The 20,719-nt window shown below is 42.3% G+C and overlaps 1 protein-coding gene and 1 pseudogene across 5 annotated transcripts in view; one reads left to right on the forward strand and one right to left on the reverse strand.

Annotated features, from left to right (window-relative positions):
* The window catches only part of ZNF169 (zinc finger protein 169), a 42,532-nt gene extending 25,206 nt beyond the window's left edge, over positions 1–17,326 (forward strand). For 2 of the 5 annotated variants that reach the window (NM_194320.4, XM_024447432.2), the window contains exons 3-5: positions 7,838–7,964; positions 8,471–8,566; positions 15,312–17,326. In NM_194320.4, coding sequence (NP_919301.2) covers positions 7,838–7,964; positions 8,471–8,566; positions 15,312–16,867 — 1,779 coding nt within the window. In that variant the 3' untranslated portion in view covers positions 16,868–17,326. Of the gene's footprint in view, positions 1–2,227; positions 2,310–7,837; positions 7,965–8,470; positions 8,567–14,944 lie in introns of all 5 variants that reach the window. The other 3 variants (XM_017014364.2, NM_001301275.2, NM_003448.3) reach the window with 3 other exon arrangements.
* Positions 2,029–4,052, reverse strand: VDAC1P11 (voltage dependent anion channel 1 pseudogene 11; annotated as a pseudogene).
* Positions 17,327–20,719: the final 3,393 nt, after the last annotated feature.

A 20,719-nucleotide genomic window follows, 5' to 3' on the forward strand; every position in this document is an offset into this window, starting at 1 on the left:
ACTAAGTCATCCACAGAGAAAATTGTTAGAGCTAATGAATTAACCAAAGTTGCAGGATACAAAGTAAACACACAAAAATCTGTTGTATTTCTGTACATTTGCAATGAACTATCTGAACAGGAAATTTAAAAAAATTATAACAGCATCAAAAAGAATAAAATACTTAGTGATAAATTTAACCGAGGATGTAAAAGATAAAGAAAACTGCAAAATATTGCTGAAAGAAATTACAGAAGACCTAAATAAATGGAAAGACTTTCCATGCTTGGAATGAATTAGAAGATTTAATATTGTTAAGATGGCAGTACTACCCAAAATGATCTATAGATTTAGTTCAATCAGAATTCCAATGGTGTTTTTTTTTCAGAAATAGACTCATACTGATATTTATATGGAATCTCATGGTACCCTGAATAGCCAAAACAATCTTGAAAAAGAAAACAAAGTTGGAGGACTCACACTGCCTGAGTTTAATACTTACTGCAAAGCTATCATAATCAAAATAGTGTCATACTGGCATAAGGATGGATACATGTAGATCAGTGGAATAGAATTGGCAGTCCTGAAAAAAAATCTCACATATATGGTCAATTGATTTTTTTACAAGGGTGGATGTCGAGATCCTTCCATCAGAAAAGGGCAGTGTATACAAATGATACTTGGAAAACTGGATATCCACAGCCAAAAGAACACGCTTGAGATAAATGAAAGAATTAGAATGCCTCAGCAAGGAAATAAAAGGTTTTAAGAATAAGTATATGGAAATTTTAGAACTGAAATAAAAAGCTACGGGATAGACTTACCAGTATATTAGCGGTAACAAAGAAATGAGTGAACTAGAAGATAGAACAGAGAGAAAATGGAGTGGAAAGAAAAATGAATAGAGCCTCAAGAATTGTGGGAGTACAACAAAAGATATAATATTTATATCTTTGGAGGTTGGAAGGGGAAACAAAGGAGGGAAGGGCTGAAAAAGTACTTCAAGAAATAATGGCTGAAAATGTCACAAATTTGGCAGGTAACAAACCTACAGATTTTAAAAGCTCACTGAGTAAATTTGAAACATGATGAACCCAATAAGTCTATGTCAGAATACATTATAAGTACACTTCTGAAGACTAAAGATGAAAAAATCATCCCGAAAGCAGCCAGATAAAAATTATGTTACTTATAGGGGAAAACAATTAGAATGCCAATGGATTTCTCACAGAACTGATAAGAATTGGCCAGGCACGGTAGCTCACGCCTGTAATCCCAGCACTTTGGGAGGCTGAAGTGGGCGGGTCACCTGAGGTCGGGCGTTCGAGACCAGCCTGACCAACATGGAGAACGTCGTCTCTACTAAAAATACAAAAAAATTAGCTGGATGTGGTGGTGCATGCCTGTAATCCCAGCTGCTCAGGAGGCTGAGGTAGGAGAATCGCTTGAACCCAGGAGGCGGAGGTTGCAGTGAGCCGAGATCACACCATTGCACTCCAGCCTGGGCAACAAGAGCGAAACTCCATCTCAAAAAAAAAAGTATAGCTTACTGTGCCTAAAGTGCATAAACAATATGGTTTATGCTGGACACTTGCTTTCTTTATGAGATCTGGGCTTTTAGTGTGTGCTAGGCAGAGGATGTCTGTTGACTAGCCCCATTAAGACTTCGGGCACTGAGTTTCTAATAGGTTTCTCTGATAGACAACATTTAACATATCGCAAATTATTACTGAAGAATTACAGAGTCATGTGTGACTGTTGAGAAAGAATTCTTGGAATTTTGTGTCTGGTTTCCTCCAGACTTGTCTCTCAAACCATTTCCCTTTACTGATTTTGTTTTGCATCCTTTCACTATAATAATCATAGCCATGCGTATAACTATATGATGAGGTTTATGAGTCCTTCTAGTGAATCATCATACTTGGGAGTGGTACTGGAGTCTGATGCAGTTTGGCTCTGTGTCCTCACTCAAATCTCAGGTTAAATTTTAATTCTCAATATTGGGGGAGGGTCCTGGTGGGAAGTGATTGGATCAGGGCGGTGGATTTTTGAGGTTTCAATATTTTATTCAAGTTTTTTTTAACTGATATTAACTACAGCATTTGAAGGGGAGGAATTAATTCCACACAAAATGCAAGACGCTAAAATGTACCCATTAAACTGCTAAAAAACAAATTGAGTGGTGAGAATATGACAGAAGTCCAGTTTAGATTCTGAGTGTTGTCATCATGTGATTACAATCATACAGACTCTTCCAAGCTTACAGCTGGAGCTCCTGGAAGCTATTTCATACTCTCGTGCAAGGGCAAAGAAACACAACACAAAAAGGAGTAAGTCCTGAATTATTGGCTTCATCACATTACCCTCTCCACCCCAAAATGGCAGAAAAGACACAGTGAACCCACCCTGCAGACCTTTTGGCGTAAAAGAGGTGAGGATGAACTGGGGTGGGAACAGGTCATGAAGCTCTGTCTAAAAAAGTCCCTTTCAGGTGAGTTTGTACACACAATCAAGCAATGAGCCTCTCATCAATTAGGGTTAGGAAACCAAGGTTCCATTCTCAGGAAATCACAATTTCATTCATTTACTCAATATGAATTTACAAAGTATCTACATATTATCAGCTTCCACTTACAGCCATTTCTAGATAAAAAAGAAACTTGGCATCTCAGAAGGGCCACCATGTTCCCTCCAAGTCTACCACTGAAAGAACCTTTTTTGGAATTGGGTTTCTTCTGTACCCCTGAAAGGGTAACATCTTAAAGCTGAATCATCTTTAACTTGGGGGTCTAACATGATATTTAGCAATACTTGCATCCCAGACATACAACATTAAAAGATACACTAAATTCTGAAGGTTGCTATACTGCAAAATTGTTTGTTTGTTTGTTTGTTTGTTTTGAAACGGAGTCTCGCTCTGTCACCCAGGCTGGAGTGCAGTGGCGCAATCTCTGCTCACTGCAACCTCCACCTCCCAGGTTCAAGTGATTCTCCTGCCTCAGCCCCCGGTTAGCTGGGACTACAGGCGCCCGCCACCACACCTGGCTAACTTTTTGTATTTTTAGTAGAGACAGGGTTTCATTGTGTTAGCCAGGATGGTCTTGATCTCCTGACCTCGTGATCCGCCTGCCTCAGCCTCCCAAAGTGCTGGGATTACAGGCATGAGCCACTGTGCCCGGCCAAAAATAGTTTAAAATTAAACAATACGGTGTTCATTTATGCTTGAAATTCTAGTCCTCAACCAAGCTTGTGGCCACCAGCATTGACGTTCTTGCCATCCAGGAGAGCTGACAGTGTCAGTTTGATACCTGGCTTTAGGGTTTGATTGTATCCTAAACCTCTCAGGCTGGAGTTGTTCATTTTAGCCGAGAAGTAGGCGTCAGGGTCGATCTGATACTTGGCTGCTATTCCGAAGCTAGTGTTACTGTTTCCTGCTGTCCAGGCGAGATTGACAGCAGTCTCCAACTTCTTGTTCACCTTCTAGTAAATGGAGCTGCCAAACTCTGTCCCATCATTCACTTTAGTGTGAAACTGGAATTCATCAGTCTTGTAGCCAACTACACTGTTGCTCTAGGTCACTCGGGACTTTGCATTCTCAAAATTCATCTGGTAGCTAGCCAGCCAGCCCTCATAACCCAGCACCAGAGCACCCTGGAATGAGGGCCCAGCAATGTCAAAATCCATGTCTCAGCCCAGGTTAATGTGCTCCTACTTGTACCCTGTCTTGATTTTAGCATTTTTTTCCCCCAGTGTTAGGTGAGAAGGACGAATTGAAGGTCAGCTTCAGTTCACGTGCAAGCTGATCTTCCACAGTAACCTCAGTGCCTGGTGTGTTGTCGGTGTTCTATTTCTCTGTAAATGCCAGGCCATATTCAGTCCATCTGTACTTGGTTTCCAGACTGCCCGTCACTTTGGTATTCTCAGTGTTGGCTGAGCCTGAGCTTGTAAATTCCAATCCATTCTTCTCTTTTGTTTTCAAATCAAGCTTTATTAAGCCAAATCCATAGCCATTGGTGAAGACATCCCTGGCAGATTTGACAGGATCTCATATGTGAGTAGCACAGCCATCTTCTCAGAGGTGGCGGCAACAGGCTCAGAGGCAGCTATGACAGGGGCTCTGGTGCAGAGGCAGGTTTCCCTCATGCTATTTTTGTGATCCTGAGTTCTCACGAGATCTGATAGTTTAAAAGTATGTAGCACTTCCCTCTTGCTCACTTTTTCTCCTGCCACAATGTGAAGATTTGCTTGCTTCCCCTTCATCCTTCCACCATGATTGTAAGTTTCCTGAGGCCTCCCATCCATGCTTCCTGTACAGCCTGTGGAACTGTGAGTCAATTGAACCTTTTTTTTTCATAAATTACCCAGTCTCAGGTAGTTCTTTATAGCAGGGTCCCCTGAAACAATCAGGAAGAAAAGAAGAACATGGTAAGGAAGACATACAGGGTAAATGTAGGCATTGCTATTCTTCATGAATTTCCTAAACTTGTTGATGGCTGAAGCAAAGATTATCGTATGGTCTGATGTGGATTTGAATGTATATAGAGGAAATGCTTAGGAAAATTATGTTTTTAAACAGAAAGAGTAAGGGGATGTAATGGGAGGTAAGTTCTATACAATTATTCAAACTGGTAAAATGGCCAGGTGTGGTGGCTTATCCTGTAATGCCAGCACTTTGTGAGGCTGAGGCAGGAGGATTGCTGGAGCTCAGGAGTTTGAAACCAGCCTGGGCAACATAGTAAGACCCCATCTGTTAAAAAAATAAAAAAATTAGCCAGGTGTGGTGATGCACACCTGTGGTCCCAGCAACTTGGGAGGCTGAGGTGGAAGGATTGCTGTAGACTGGGAGATTGAGGCTATAGTGAACCATGATCATGCTGCTGCACTCCAGCCTAGGTGTCAGAGTGAGATCCTGCCTCATAAAAACAACAAAAAAGCAAGCTGGTAAAACGATGACACCAGCAAATTATGATAAGCTATATATATGTAATGTAGCACCTAGAGCAACCACTTAAAAAGCTATACAATGGCCGGGCATGGTGGCTCACGCCTGTAATCCCAGCACTTTGGGAGGCCGAGGCAGGTGGATCACCTGTGGTCAGGAGTTCAAGACCAGCCTGGCCAACATGACGAAACCCCGTCTCTACTAAAAATACAAAAATTAGCTGGGCTTGGTGGCAGGAGCCTGCAATCCTGGCTACTCAGGACGCTGAGGCAGGAGAATCACTTGCATTCGGGAGGCAGAGAATGCAGTGAGCTGAGATCGTGCCATTGCACTCCAGCCTGGGTGACAGAATGAGACTCTGTCTCAAAAAAAAAAGCTATACAGTGAAATACACTAAGAAACACTGTAGGCAAATCAAGACAGAATTATAAAAAAGTTTGAGTAACCCATGAGAAATTTGTAAAGAAAACAAAGAGGCAAAAAGCCCAGAGAACAAACAAATAAAACTTAAATGGCAGACATTCCAACCAATAAGAACAGAATGCATATTCTTTTCATGTGCCTTTAGAAACACAGATGAAGTTAGACATATCCTGGGCCATAAACCAACATAAAGCAAAAATTTCTTTAGTTAAAAATATTTTTTCTAATTTAAGTCATGTAATGTTGGTCATATCGATAGGCTAAAGAAGAAAAATCATGATTTTATCAGTTAATGCAATAAGACTTTAGCAGAATTCAACAACCATTTGTAAACAAAACAAACTCTCAGTACAATAGGAACAGAGGAGAATCTTCTAAAAATCTGCAGCTAACATTCTTTTTAAAATTTTGGTAATACATAACACAAAATTGACTATATATTTTTACAATTCAGTGGCATTAAGTACATTCACATTGTTATACAACCATCACCACTTTCCAGAATTTTTTCATTATCCCAAATAGAAATTGTGTATCCATTAAACAATAACTCCCCATCCCCACTCCCCCCAGCCCCTGGTAACCTCTGTTTTACTTTGTCTGTATGAATTTGCCTATTCTAGGTACCTTACATAAGTGGAATCATATATTTGTCCTTTTGTGACTGGCTTATGTCACTTGGCATATTTTCAAGGCTTGTCTCTTAAAAACGTCCATCAGAAAAGGTCCCTCCTTTTTAAGGCTGAAAAATACTCCATTGTATGTGTATACCACATTTTCTTTATTCATTCATTTTTATTCATTCACATTTTCTTTATTCATTCAGTTGATAAACATTCAAGTTGTTTCCAGTTGTTGTGAACAGTACTGCTATGAACATTGGTGTACAAGTATCTGTTTGAGTCCCTACTTTCAATTTTTGGGGGTATATTCCTAGGAGTGGAATTGTTGGATCAGATGCTAATTATATGTTTAATTTTTTGAGGAACTGCCAAACTGTTTTTCATAGAAACTGTATTGTTTTACATTCCCATCGGCAATGTGAAAGTTTCCAATTTCTCCATACCCCACAAAAATATGTTTTTCTTTTTTCTGGTAGTAGTTATCCTGTTTGTGGAACAGTATTTTTTATTTAATTTATTTTTAAGTAAAAAAATTTTTTAAACATCTACTCTGATTCTGGTCTATGGAACAGTATTCTTTTTTTTTTTTTTTTTTTTTTTTTGAGATGGAGTTTTGCTCTGTTGCCCAGGCTGGAGTGTAGTGGTGTAATCTCGGCTCACTGCAACCTCCGCCTCCCAGGTTCAAGCAATTCTCTGCCTCAGCCTCCCAAGTAGCTGGGACTACAGATGCTTGCCACCATGCCCAGCTAATTTTTGTATTTTTGGTAGAGATGGTGTTTTACCATCTTGGCCAGGCTGGTCTTGAACTCCTGACCTCATGATCCACCCGCCTTGTCCTCTCAAAGTGCTGGGATTACAGATGTGAGCCATTGCATCTGGCCAGAACAGTATTCTTAATGGTGAAAGATTAAATGCTTTCCTTCCATGATTGGGAACAAACCAACGTTATATCTGTTCTTACCACTCTCATTCAACATAGCGCTGGAAGTTCTAACCACAGCAATAAGGCAAGAAAAGGAAATAAGAGACATACAGATCATTAACAAAGAAATGAAACTGTTCCTATTTGCAGAGGACATGATTGTCTATGTAGAAAATCTCAAGGAACGAAGGGAAAAAAAGCTTTTAAAGCTAAGTAAAGTTTAGTCAGCTTGCCGTATAGAAGAAAAAACAGACAAACAATTGTATCATATGTCATAGCATGAACATATGGTCACTGAAGTTAAAATACAGTACCATTAAAATTACTTAAAAAAAAGAAGAAAGCTGAAGAAATTCTTAGGTGTAAATCTAACAAAATGTGTAGGGTCTGTTTGCAGAAAATCACAAAATGTTGATGAAAGAAATCATAGACGGTCTAAACAAATGGAGAGACATACTGTGTTTATGGATTTGAAGATCCAATATAGTAAAGATGTAAGTTCTCACCAAATTGATATACAGGTTTAATGGGAATCCTATCAAAATTTCAGCAAAGGCTTTTAGAGATATAGACAAGATTATTCTAAAATTTGCATAGAAAGGCACAGGCACAGGCTATTTTAGAATAGCTAAATCAACTTTCAACATGAAGAATAAAGTGAGAGGAATCGGTTTACCTGATTTCCAGTCCTGCTATGTAGCTGCGATAATCAAACTTGTGTGTTTGATCAGCACAACAGAGAGCCCAGAAATAGAACCAGCATCAGTGTATGGAGGGGATTAATAGTCTTGAATATATGGAACCAGGTTTCAGGTTAAAAGCAGGATCTGTAAATCTCACTTGGGTGCTCTAGGACTGCTTCTTTCTGCCTTGACTGTGGTTAGTGGCTTAAGTTGGTTAGTGGGCATGGCTGGCTGTTGAGTGAGCAGGGATGTGTTTGTGTTACAGGCATTGATGGCCTTCCGGGATGTGGCTGTGGCCTTCACCCAGAAGGAGTGGAAGCTATTGAGTTCTGCTCAGAGGACCCTGTACAGGGAGGTGATGCTGGAGAACTACAGCCATCTGGTCTCCCTGGGTAAGGCTGGCCTGTTTAAGGTTTCAGATTCTGCTTGTGGGTATTTTAAGCTCTTACATAGCAAGCTGCCATGCTTCTGACTCAGAAAAACAGTTTTTTCCCCTATTCCCCCAGAGAATGCCTGGCTTTCACAGTGCAGTTGTGTGTGTGTGTGTGTGTGTGTGTGTGTGTGTGCGCGTGCACATGCTGTGAGCGTGTGGTGTGTCTGACACTGCATTTTTCAGGCCTGTTTACCCTGGCTGGGCTCCTCCTCTAAGGTTATCCTCCTTCAAAAGGAGGAATATTTTTATTGACTCAAGCACAGGGTAGAATCAACATACTGCCTTTAGGTCTAGGATCCCCTCCCTGTATGCATCCTTTCTTAGCATTCAGACATAGTTTACTCCACCCCTGCACCTCCCTACCACCTTCTGGGTTTATTGCATTCCTGGGTTGGCTCTGAGTTCTGAGATAGCCTCTTAAGCCACTAACTCAAGATCACCTTGGTTTTTTTTTCCTGTGAGTAGGAATTGCATTTTCCAAACCAAAACTCATCGAACAGCTGGAGCAAGGCGACGAACCTTGGAGAGAGGAGAACGAACATCTTCTGGACCTTTGTCCAGGTGAGTGGGAAGCCCTGGGCAAGCGAGGGTGCAGGGCAGTGAGGAGCTCAGCAGGTAAGGAAGGAGGGGCTATCTTTGAGGTGCTAGGAGGAAGTTCTTCTTCAGGCCTCCTAGGCCACTGGTAAAGGCTGCATGGCACTGCCTGCCTTCCACACTGTGTGCCTCCCCCCAGGACAGGGCACCCCTGGCATTCCATCTCCTTCCTCCATCAGGGAGCCTCACTCCTCACTTGGCTTCCTTTCTCGAGCACATTCAGGATTTCTCCATTCTTGGGCTCATGTGGTTGGCATGATCTTCAAAACAGTACCTGTCCTTTGAGACTAAGTCCCTGCCCCTGGTTTTTTATTTTTATTTTTATTTTTTTTGAGACAGAGTCTCGTTCTGTCACCCAGGCTGGAGTGCAATGGCATGATCTCGGCTCACTGCAACCTCTGCCTCCTGTGTTCAAGTGATTTCTCCTGCCTCACCCTCCTGAGTAGCTGGGACTACAGGTGCCCGCCATCATGCCCAGCTAAATTTTTTTGTATTTTTAGTAGAGATGGGGTTTCACCTTATTGGTCAGGCTGGTCTTGAATTCCTGAGCTCAGGCAATCCATCTGCCTTTGCTTCCCAAAGTGTTGGGATTACAGGCGTGAGCCACCACGCCCAGCCAGTTTCTATTCTTAACCTGGTAGCTTTTTTGTGCATCATTTCTATCCTGTAAATTCTCATAACTTTGTTTCTTTTATCATAGATTATTTAAGATTACAGCAAGGTGTGAAAAACTGTACAATGAGTAGGGTTGGGGCAGCCCTGTACCCTAAGAGATAGCATGTTATAAAACCAGGTAATAGCCCCATACTTTTCCTGATTGTGTCCCGTTCCTCCGCCTCTGTTTTCTGAGTTAGCATTCCATGACTGTCTTTATCCTTTTATTCCATCTGATGGGTTCTTCACTCATATAGGGTGTTGTTTTGCATGTCTGTAAACTTCTCTGCACATAATGTTATTAAGTTGTTTCCAACTTTTTGGCTATGAAATAATCTTGCTCTGTATTCTTGTATGCCTCCTTGGGAACATGTCCAAGAGTTTCTCTTAAAATATATACCGGCCAGGTGCAGTGGCTCACACCTGTAATCCCAGCACTCTGGGAGGCCGAGGCAGGTGGATCACGAGGTCAGGAATTCGAGACCATTCTGGCCAACATGGTGAAACCCCGTCTCTACTAAAAATAGAAAAATTAGCTGGGTGTGGTGGCGCATGCCTATAATCTTAGCTACTTGGGAGGCTGAGGCAGGAGAATTGCTTGAATCCGGGAGGCGGACGTTGCAGTGAACTGAGATTGCGCCACTGCACTCCAGCCTAGGTGACAGAGCGAGTCTCCATCTCACAAAGAAAAAAAAAAAGATATATACTTAGGTGTGTAGTAGCTGGTTCACAGGCATGCATAGCCTCAACTTATATAAGTTATGCCAACTTGTGTTCTGAAGTGGGCATGGCAGCTTATGCTCCCAGCAGGAGTCTATGAGAATTCTTGTTGTACATCCTCACCAACATTTGGGATTGTGAGACCTCATGTTTTATCCATCTATTCAGCTGGAAGTGAAATCTCAGAGGGGTTTTTAAGTTGCTTACTAGTGAGCATGAGCATCTTTTCATATGTTGCTTGGCCCTTCCTGTTTCCCCATCTGTGATTTGACCATTCAAGGTGTTTGCCTACTTTTCAATGGGTCTATTCTTTTTGTTATTGATTTGTAGAAATCCCATATAAATTATGGAAACATTTAGGTCTTTAACTGGAATTAATTTTATATGAATGCTGGGAGATAGAAATAAATTTTTGCCTGCTTTATCTTCTTACTTGTTTATTTTCATGGTTTCCTGGCATTTTATTTTTGTTTTATTTTTTGCTTTTAAATGTAACTATATAGCTGGTATTACACTATGTAGCAACTGAGTGCTTTTGTCTTTTTAAAAGCATTTCGTTATATAAAAATGGGGTGGGCACAGTGGCTCACGCCTGTAATCCCAGACTTTGAGAGGCTGAGGTGGGTGGATCACTTGAGGCCAGGAGTTTGAGACCAGCCTGGCCAACATGGCAAAATCCCGTCTCTACTAAAAATACACAAATTAGCCGAGCCTGGTGGTGCATGCCTGAAATACCAGCTACTCGGATGGCTGAGGAGTGAGAATCGCTTGAACCTGGGAGGCGAAGGTTGCAATGAACTGAGATCACACCACTGTACTCCAGCCTGGGCTACAGAGTGAGACTCTGTCTCAAAAAAAAATAAAGTAAAATAATGATAAAAATGTTATTAAGATACAGCAATTAAGGTATATTATAAGATATGTTTTTTAAGGTATAATAAACTACACTTATATAGGTGTGAAATTTGGTTAGTTTTGGCATATGTATACATGCATGAAAGCACTGCCACAGCTAAAGTAACAAGCATGTCTGTCATCCTTGAAAATTTTCTTTCGCCTTACTGTAATCCTACCTCCCACTCCTTCCTGTCCTCCCCTGTACCTGGGCAACCACTGATCAGCTTTCTATAATTATAGATTTGTCTGCATTTTCTAGAATTTGTATAACTGGATTATACAGGATACAACTGGATTCTTCACTCAGCATAAGTATTTTGAATTTTATCTATAATGTGTGTATCAATAGTTTATTAATTTTTATTGCTGAGTATTCCTTTATATGTCTAGGTCACATTTTAATACTGACCTATTAAAAGGTATTTGGGTTTTCATTTTTGACAAATATAAATAAAGCTGTTTTAAGCATGCAAGTTTTTGTGTGAATATAATGCTTTCATTTCTGTTGAATAAATACCTGGGACTGGAATGGCTGGGTTGTATGATGATGGATACAATATATATTCAACTTTTGAAGAAACTCACAAACTGCTTTCCAAAGTGGCCGCACCATTTCACATTCCCACAGCAGTGTATGAGAGCTCCAGGTGTTCCATATTTGTCAAAACTTGGCTTGGTTATTAATTTCAGACATTCTTATAGCTGTGTAGTGAGTGGCATCTTACCGTGGTTTTAACATTTTCTTAATGACTGATGATGTTGAGTATCTTCATGTGCTTATTTGCTATCTTATATCTTCTTTAGTGAAGTACGTTTTCACATCTTTTGCCCATTTAAAAATGTGGTTTCTTATTTTTGTATTATTGAGTTTGAGAGTTCTTCACATATTCTATGTAGAAGTCCATTATCAGATATATGATTTACAAACATTTTTTCTGTGGTTTACTTTCTATAATCTTAATAGTGCCTTTCAAAGAGAAATTTTAATTTGGATGAAGTCCAGTTTTCAATCTTTTCTCTTATGAATTGCAGTTTTGGTAGTGTATTTAAGAAATTTTAGTCTAAAGTAAGGTCAAAAAGATTCTCATTTTTTTCTTTTAGTAATTTTACAATTTTTAATTACATTTAGGTCTATAAGCCTATTTTGAGTAAATATACTTGATAAAAGATCTGAATTTATGTACTTTTTTAGGGGAGGAAGGGCATACAAATATCCAATTTTTCCAGCACCATTTATTGAAAACACTACCCTTTTTTAACTGAATTTCCTATGTATCTTTGTGGAAGATCAGTTGACCATATGTGATAGGTCTATACCTGGACTCTATGTTTTTTCTACTCCTCTGTTAGTGTCTCTATGCCAATACCACAGTTTTGATTACTGTAGCTTTATTAGGTCTTGAACTCACTGTAAATCCTCCATCTTCTTTGGGAAGCTTAGGCAGGCGGATCACAAGGTCAGGAGTTCGAGACTAGTCTGGCCAACATAGTGAAACCCCATCTCTACTAAAAATACAAAAAAAACTAGCCGAGTGTGGTGGTGCGCACCTGTAATCACAGCTACTCGGGAGGCTGAGGCAGGAGGATCGCGTGAACTCGGGAGGCGGAGGTTGCAGTGAGCCGAGATCACACTATTGCACTCCAGCCCAGGCAACAGTGCGAGACTCCATCTCAAAATAAAATAAAATAAAATAAAAAATCCTCCATCTTTGCTTTTTTTTGCAAGTTCTTTTCGTTATTCTTTGTTTTTTCATATGAATTTTAGAATCAGCTTGTCAGTTTTTAACAAAAATGCCTGCTGAGATTTTGATTGGGATCGAGTTGAATCTGTATCAATTTGTGGAGAACTTACACATAAATAATACTGTGTCTTACAGTACGTGAACACAGTATAGCTCTCCATTTACATAAGACTTCTTTCATTTTTGTCGGCATTGTTTTGTCATTTCTGGTATACAGGCCTTACATATCTCTTGTCAGATTTGCCCCTAAGTATTTCATATTTTGATGCTATTTTTAAGTGTCAATTTTCAGTTGTTTATTGATGGTATGTAGAAATAAAATGGATTTATGTATAGTGATTTTGTATGCTGTAATCTTGCAAAACTCACATCTTTTTCCACTGGAATATTTTAATATGAAGGACCTTCTCTGTATTCCAGATGGAATGTGAATGGCAATCCCTAAAGCTGCTGAAGTTCCCTCTTGCAGATATGATCTTACTGACTCTAATCAATGATACAAAGAGTTTTTCTTAGGAATAGTATGGTCAAAAATAAGAAATACGTATTTTGTGATTAAAAATAGTTAACAAATAGAATAACATATAAATCAGTATTGTATTTATAATCGTCTGCCTTGAACCAAGGGTCTTCTGTTAAGTAGTTTAATTCCATTAAATTGTTCACTTCTGTTCTGATAGGGCACTTGAAACCCTGATTCAGTTTCTTGCTATGGGTTGCTACTTGCCAGGTACATTTCTGATCAATGCTCTTAAAAATTTGTTCCAGGGGCTGGGCGCGGTGGCTCACGCCTGTAATCCCAGCACTTTGGGAGGCCAAGGCAGGCGAATCACTTGAGGTCAGGAGTTTGAGACCAGCCTGGCCAACATGGTGAGACCCTGTCACTACTAAAAATACAAAAAATTAGCCAGGCGTAGTAGGTGCGCCTGTAATCCCAGCTACTCAGGAGGCTGAGGTGGGAGAATTGCTTGAACCCAGGAGGTGGAGGTTGCAGTGGGCTGAGATAGTGCCACTGTACTCCAGCCTAGGCGACAGTGCGAGACTCCTTTAAAAAAAAAAAAAAAAATTTGTTCAAGGAGACTCAATTTCTAATCTGAGTTAAAAAGCAGGAGTCTTTAAACAAAAGTAAGATAAAAAAGATAAACTAGCCATGAATAAGAAAATGCCTTATTTTTCTCTTACCAAATGCTTTGCTTATTCACTACAGCAAACAATTTCAGAGATAATGAAAGCAGACTTCTCTATTGAGGGCTGTCCCATAATGACTCATAAGAACTTAGTCCTGCCGAGCGCAGTGGCTCATGCCTATAACCCCAGCACTTTGGGAGGCCGAGGCAGGCGGATCACCTAAGGTCAGGAGTTCGAGACCAGCCTGGCCAACATGGTGAAACCCCGTCTCTCACCTAAGGTCAGGAGTTCAAGACCAGCCTGGCCAACATGGTGAAACCCGATCTCTACTAAAAATACAAAACTTAGCCGGGCATGGTGGTGCACGCCTGTAATCCCAGCTGCTCAGGAGGCTGAGACAGGAGAATTGCTTGAACCAGAGGTTGCAGTCAGCCAAGATCACGCCACTGCACTCCAGCCTGGGCAACAGAGCGAGACTCTGTCTCAAAAAAAAAAAAAAAAAAAAGAACTTAGTCAATAATTACCTAGGAGTTACGGTATCAACTTACGGAAGCTGAAAGCACTGCCAATTTCCAGAGCCTTTAATTTATACCATCATGGGAATTAGTGTTATCTCCAATTGGCAGCCTATTTAAACCTAGAAACAAAATTTTTTGAAAAAGTCAATTTGTATAGTTTTAACAGTTTTTGTGCATGGATAAGAATATGCTTAAGCCGAAATATGTATAATCCCTGAAACATCTTTATGCTAATGAGAAGTCATCTATTATTAACTTTCAAACGCTGAGCTTCTCCTTAATTCACCAGATTTTTTTAAAAATCCTGGATTATTGAGCAAAACAGTGTACGTAGTGTTGTGCAATGCTATTCGGGGAATATACTTGGCTGCAGTCTTCCCAGAGGCTAGAGGACAGCACCTTCATTTGCCCGGAGGGCAGCATCAGGGATTCCTCTTCTTCAAGAGGACTTAAGGGTGTCCATACAGTTCAGGAGACAACTCACATCAGGCTGATATGGAAGCTCCCTGGCCTAAAGCCTATTCCACACAGGAGCCAGTATCTCTTGCTACAGCTTATCTGATTCGTGGGTGCCCCTTACTTGAGTCACCACAGTCAAGGAAGCCCAAAGCATGGCTCCCCTTCAGATGCTAAGATCTTATTTATAGCACCTTCAAGATCATAATCAGTCTGTTTCTTAACTGCAGCTCAGACACCAAGTTCTTGGCTCTTGCATAAACAGCAGGCCGAACAAATGTTTCTCAGGCAAGGTTTAATAGGCTTGAGCTGGAGCAAAAGCAAGGGAGCGGCGCCCAAGAAAGGAAGATAAATGTGTAACTCTACTTGCAGCAATTTATAGAGCTGAAGCTGCCTGTGATGCTTTTTTGAACCTTTTAGTTTGGCTGATAGGACTAGTTTGTAGTGTGGGTTTTCTGTGCTGCAATAGAGCATGTAATGTGCCCTTGTGGGTTGGAAGATAAGTCTTTGTTGTGAACATCTGAAGAAAACTGCTGGGCAGGTATTACAATCCATGGTCACCTGTGGTGATTCTGACCAAGACTTTCTCTCTAGCAGAGCCTAGAACAGAATTCCAGCCAAGTTTTCCCCACCTGGTGGCCTTTTCTAGCTCGCAGCTCCTCAGACAATATGCGCTAAGTGGCCATCCCACACAGATCTTCCCAAGCTCATCTGCAGGAGGTGACTTCCAACTAGAAGCTCCAAGATGCTCTAGTGAAAAAGGAGAAAGTGGAGAGACAGAAGGCCCCGACAGCTCATTAAGAAAGAGGCCAAGCAGAATTTCTAGGACATTCTTCAGCCCACATCAAGGTGACCCAGTAGAATGGGTAGAAGGGAACAGAGAAGGAGGAACAGACCTTCGCCTGGCCCAAAGGATGAGTCTTGGGGGGTCAGACACAATGTTGAAGGGAGCAGACACTTCAGAATCTGGAGCAGTCATACGTGGAAACTATAGACTGGGACTTAGCAAAAAGTCAAGCCTGTTCAGCCACCAGAAGCATCATGTGTGCCCTGAATGCGGGAGAGGCTTTTGCCAGAGATCAGACCTTATCAAGCACCAGAGGACACACACCGGGGAGAAGCCATACCTGTGTCCTGAGTGTGGGCGTCGGTTTAGCCAGAAGGCCTCCCTCTCCATACACCAGAGGAAGCACTCGGGGGAGAAGCCGTATGTGTGCAGGGAATGTGGGCGACACTTCAGGTATACATCCTCTCTCACTAATCACAAGAGGATTCACTCCGGGGAGAGGCCCTTTGTATGTCAGGAGTGTGGGCGAGGCTTTCGCCAGAAGATAGCCCTCCTTCTACACCAGAGGACGCACTTGGAGGAGAAGCCCTTCGTGTGTCCTGAGTGTGGGAGAGGCTTTTGCCAGAAGGCATCACTCCTCCAGCACCAGAGCTCACACACAGGGGAGAGGCCCTTCCTGTGCCTTGAGTGTGGGCGTAGCTTCAGGCAGCAGTCACTCCTCCTTAGTCACCAGGTCACACACTCAGGAGAGAAGCCTTATGTCTGTGCTGAGTGTGGGCACAGCTTTCGCCAAAAGGTCACTCTCATCAGGCACCAGAGGACACACACAGGGGAGAAGCCTTACCTGTGCCCCCAGTGTGGGCGGGGTTTTAGCCAGAAGGTCACCCTCATTGGACACCAGAGGACACACACAGGGGAGAAGCCCTACCTGTGCCCTGATTGTGGGCGTGGCTTTGGTCAGAAGGTCACCCTCATCAGACACCAGAGGACACACACAGGGGAGAAGCCTTATCTGTGCCCCAAGTGTGGGCGTGCATTTGGCTTTAAGTCGCTCCTCACCCGACACCAGAGGACACACTCAGAGGAGGAGCTTTACGTAGACAGGGTGTGTGGACAAGGACTTGGCCAGAAGTCACACCTTATCTCTGACCAAAGGACACACTCAGGAGAGAAGCCCTGCATTTGCGATGAATGTGGGCGCGGCTTTGGCTTTAAGTCTGCCCTCATCCGACATCAGCGGACCCATTCTGGGGAGAAGCCGTATGTCTGCAGGGAGTGTGGGCGTGGCTTTAGCCAGAAGTCTCACTTGCATAGACACAGGAGGACCAAGTCTGGTCATCAGCTCCTACCCCAAGAGGTCTTCTGACCTTTCCTTTCCCCGTGAGTGTGAAGCTGGCAGAAATCACTAGTAAATGCTTCAGTTTCCTGAAATGGAATGGAAAAAAAAAAATGTTGCTTTCTTTCATCGATCATGAGATAGTTGATTTTTGGTTTACTTTCTATATTCACAATTTGTCTTGGCTTGCTAGGGGTTCCATAACAAAGTACCCCAGGCTGGGTGATTTTGACAACGGAAATATATTTTCATATTTATGGAGGCTGGAAGTCCCAGATGAACGTATTGGTAGGTTTGGCTGCTGCTTAAGCCTCTCTGTTTGGCTTGCGGATGGCTGCTTTCTGGCCACGTCCTCACGTGGGCTTTTTTCTGTGTGTATGCTTTCCTGGTGTGGCTTCCTCCTCTTCTAGGGACACCAGTCATTTTGGATAGAGCCACAGCCACATGGCCTCGTTTAACCTTAATAACCTTCCTAAAGGCCTTATCTCTAGATACAGTCACACTACACAGTTAGGACTTCAACATATGAATTTCTGGGAAACCCAATTTAGTCTATAACACTCCACTACCAAAGTTCAGGTCCCTCAGACATTCAAAATACATTCACATGATCCCAACAGTCCCAAAATTCTTTACCCATTTCAACTTCACCTCTAGATCCAAAATCTCATTTAAATATCATCTAAATCAAGTGTGAATGAGACTTTAGGTACAATTCATCCTTAGGCAAAATTCTCCAGGTGTGATCCTGTGAAACCAGACAGATATCTGCTTCCACAATATTCTACAATGGTGGGACAAGCAGAGGCTGGACTTCCCCATTCCAAAGGAAAGACATGAGAAAGAAATGAAGAATGATGGATCCCAAGCAAGTCTCAAACCTGGCAAGGCAACTTCCATTAGATTTTAAGTCTCGAGAATAATCCCCTTTGGCTCAGTGCTCTGCCTTCTGGGCCAACTGGATTGGCAGCCCTGCTTTTTAGGCTCACGGGAGCTGCAGTGTCGCTCCCTTGGCCCTTGGCAGCGGCTCCTGGCCCACTGAAATTGAGGAGGAGACACACTTGCCCTCTAGACCTGTACTCTCTGGGCCCATTAGAACCTTTGAGAATCACATTCTTCCCTTTTCTTGAAGATTAACGTGCGTTTGCAACTGGATAGCTCTATTGTACCTTCCCGTAGAATCCCAGAAGTCTAACAGCCTGCCTTCATTTTTGTCCTGTCTCTTTCTCTATTCAGTTCAAGCTGGCAGCATTTCTGGTGAGATGGTTAATTGGTTCCATTCAGACCTATACTAATCTCTTTATCACATGGTTGTCCAGCCACACCCTAGTGTTCTTTCAAGAACATACTTTCTCATTTTTTGCAATGCGGACAGGCTGAGAATTTTCCAAATCTTTAAGTACTGGTTCTTTTTTGCTTAACAGTTCCTTCAATTTATCTTTCTCCTCTAATATTTTACTATAAGCAGCAAGGAGAAAACAGACTCCACTTGCATCACTTTGTGTAGAAATATCACCTGAATATTCTGCACTGCCTCACTCACAATTTCTGTACTCCACAAAACACTAGAACGCAATTTGGGCAAGTCCTTTGCAAGGATTCCAGTTTCCCATTACCCATTCCTCATTTCTGTCTGAGACTTAACCACAATCACCTTAAAATTAAAAACAAAACAAAACAAAACAAAAAAAAACCCCAAACATTTTGTAGATACGGGTTTTTGCTATGTTGCTTAGGCTGGTCTCATACACCTGGCCTCAAATGATCCTCCTGCTTTGCCCTCTCAAAGTGTGAGCCACCACACCCAGCCCAGAACCTTTTAACATCTACATTCCTACCAACAGTGTTTTAAAGGTCATCCAGGCTTTTCCTAACATGTGCCTCAGAACTCTTGTAGCTTCTTTCTACCGAGTACCCAGTTCCAAGTCACTTCCACATTTTAGGTTACAAAGCATCCCAATCACAGTACCAAAATCTGTATTAATTTGCTAGGGCTGACATAAGAAAACACCAGACTGGGTGCCTTAAGCAATAGAATATTTATCTTCTCACAGTTCAGGAAACTGGAAGTCCTAGAATGAGGTGTTGGCAGGTTTGGTTTCTACTAAGGCCTCTCTCCTTGGCCTGCAGATGGCTGCCTTCCCTCTGTGGTGTCTCATAGCTTATTCTTTGTACACACACTTTCCTGGTGTCTCTCATTAAAAGGACACCAGTGATACTGGATTAGGGCAACACCCTAAAGACCTTGTTTTAACCTTAATTACAACTTTAAATGTCCTGTATGCAAAAACAGTCACACTGGGGATTAGGGATTCAACATATGAATTTGGGTGGGGAGGGACACAATTTAGTCCATAACACTCTGCCTTCTGGACTTCCAAAATTCGTATCTAGCCGTGAGCGCCTGCCATAAGAGTGCTCTCTTGAATTCCTTTCCTTTCTCCATAAGTGTGAAGATGGCAGAAATCAATAACAGATGTTCCACTTTCCTGATATGGAATGGAGGAAAAAGAGTTGCTTTCCTTCATTGATCATGAGATAGTTGGTTTATGCTTTACTTTCTGCACAGTGGTCCTTTGTATTTTATGGTCTTTTGTTTTAATAAACTGCTTCTCTACAAAGCTGCATACCTGGCTATGTACCTCATTCACTGATACTTTGAGGAGAACCCCAAGGCATTCAACCTCTTCGGAGACATGGAGGAATTACTCTGCGTATTTATTCTAGGCTACTGTCCTATGGGACAGGGATATTACGGTCTTCAACCTCACCTCTTCCTAAGTCTTCCATTGTCTGTGATGAGAGCCACTGGCCACATGCTCACCTTCCCTGATGCCAGATTGAAGGGCATTTATTCACATCCCTGTCATGTTAGCTATGCCTACGTGCCAGTGATCCAGCCCTTCAGCCACAACCTTCCTTAAAACTCCAATCAGGAGCTAAGGCTCTGAAGCCACCCACCCTTCTATCCAGCCCAAGACACTGCCCCCTTAGTTATAGTCCCTCCTGTTCCCTGATCCCCAGAGCCCAAATGCCCCAGATCCTGACAAATGCCTACACCAAGAATGGCCCTGGCCCTGTTCCTTCAGCACCGAATGTTTACTGCATGGTCAGTCTCCCCAGTGCTTGGAGCCACTGCTGGCTCAGAGGGGTTTTTCACCAGAATGAAAAGAGATTTTAGTTTGGAAGAATTTGCCTTGGGAGGATAGATGAAAGAAGAATGACAGATGGAGGTCACTGACCCCAGCATCTCAGCTGGAGACAGTCTTTGGGTTAGCTTTGGTGGGGATGCCCTGAGACCACTGGGGACAGCCCTTATCAACACATTTTCACTGAAGCCATTTTGCCTCAGCGAGTTATCCAGTGGCCAGAGCTGAAGTCACAAGGGAAGCGTGTGTGTGTGTGTGTGCACGTGAACGTGCACACGCATATGTGTGGTATGGGGTCATTTCATGCCAGCAGTTTAAAAATTTCTACTGAGAATATAAATAGAAGTAATAACCATTCCAGCATATATATTGACCTTGTACTTGAAAGTGTTTTTCCATAATGGAAGTTTCTATGGCCATTCACCCAAAATGGACCTGATAAATGATATATAAATAAAAAACAGGCTGGGTGCAGTGGCTCACACCTGTAATCCCAGCACTTTGGGAGGCCAAGGTGAGTGGATCCCTTGAGGTGGGGAGTTCGTGACCAGCCTGGCAAACATGGCAAAACCCCGTCTCTACTAAAAATACAAAAGTTAGCCGGGGCGTGGTAGCAGGCACCTGTAATCTCAGCTACTCGGGAGGCTGAGGCAGGAGAATCACCTGAATCCGGGAGGCGGAGGTTGCAGTGAGTCAAGATTGCGCCGTTGATTCCAGCCTGGGCGACAAGAGC

This window comes from Homo sapiens, chromosome 9 (genome assembly GCF_000001405.40).
Source record: "Homo sapiens chromosome 9, GRCh38.p14 Primary Assembly".
NCBI classification, from domain to species: domain Eukaryota; kingdom Metazoa; phylum Chordata; class Mammalia; order Primates; family Hominidae; genus Homo; species Homo sapiens.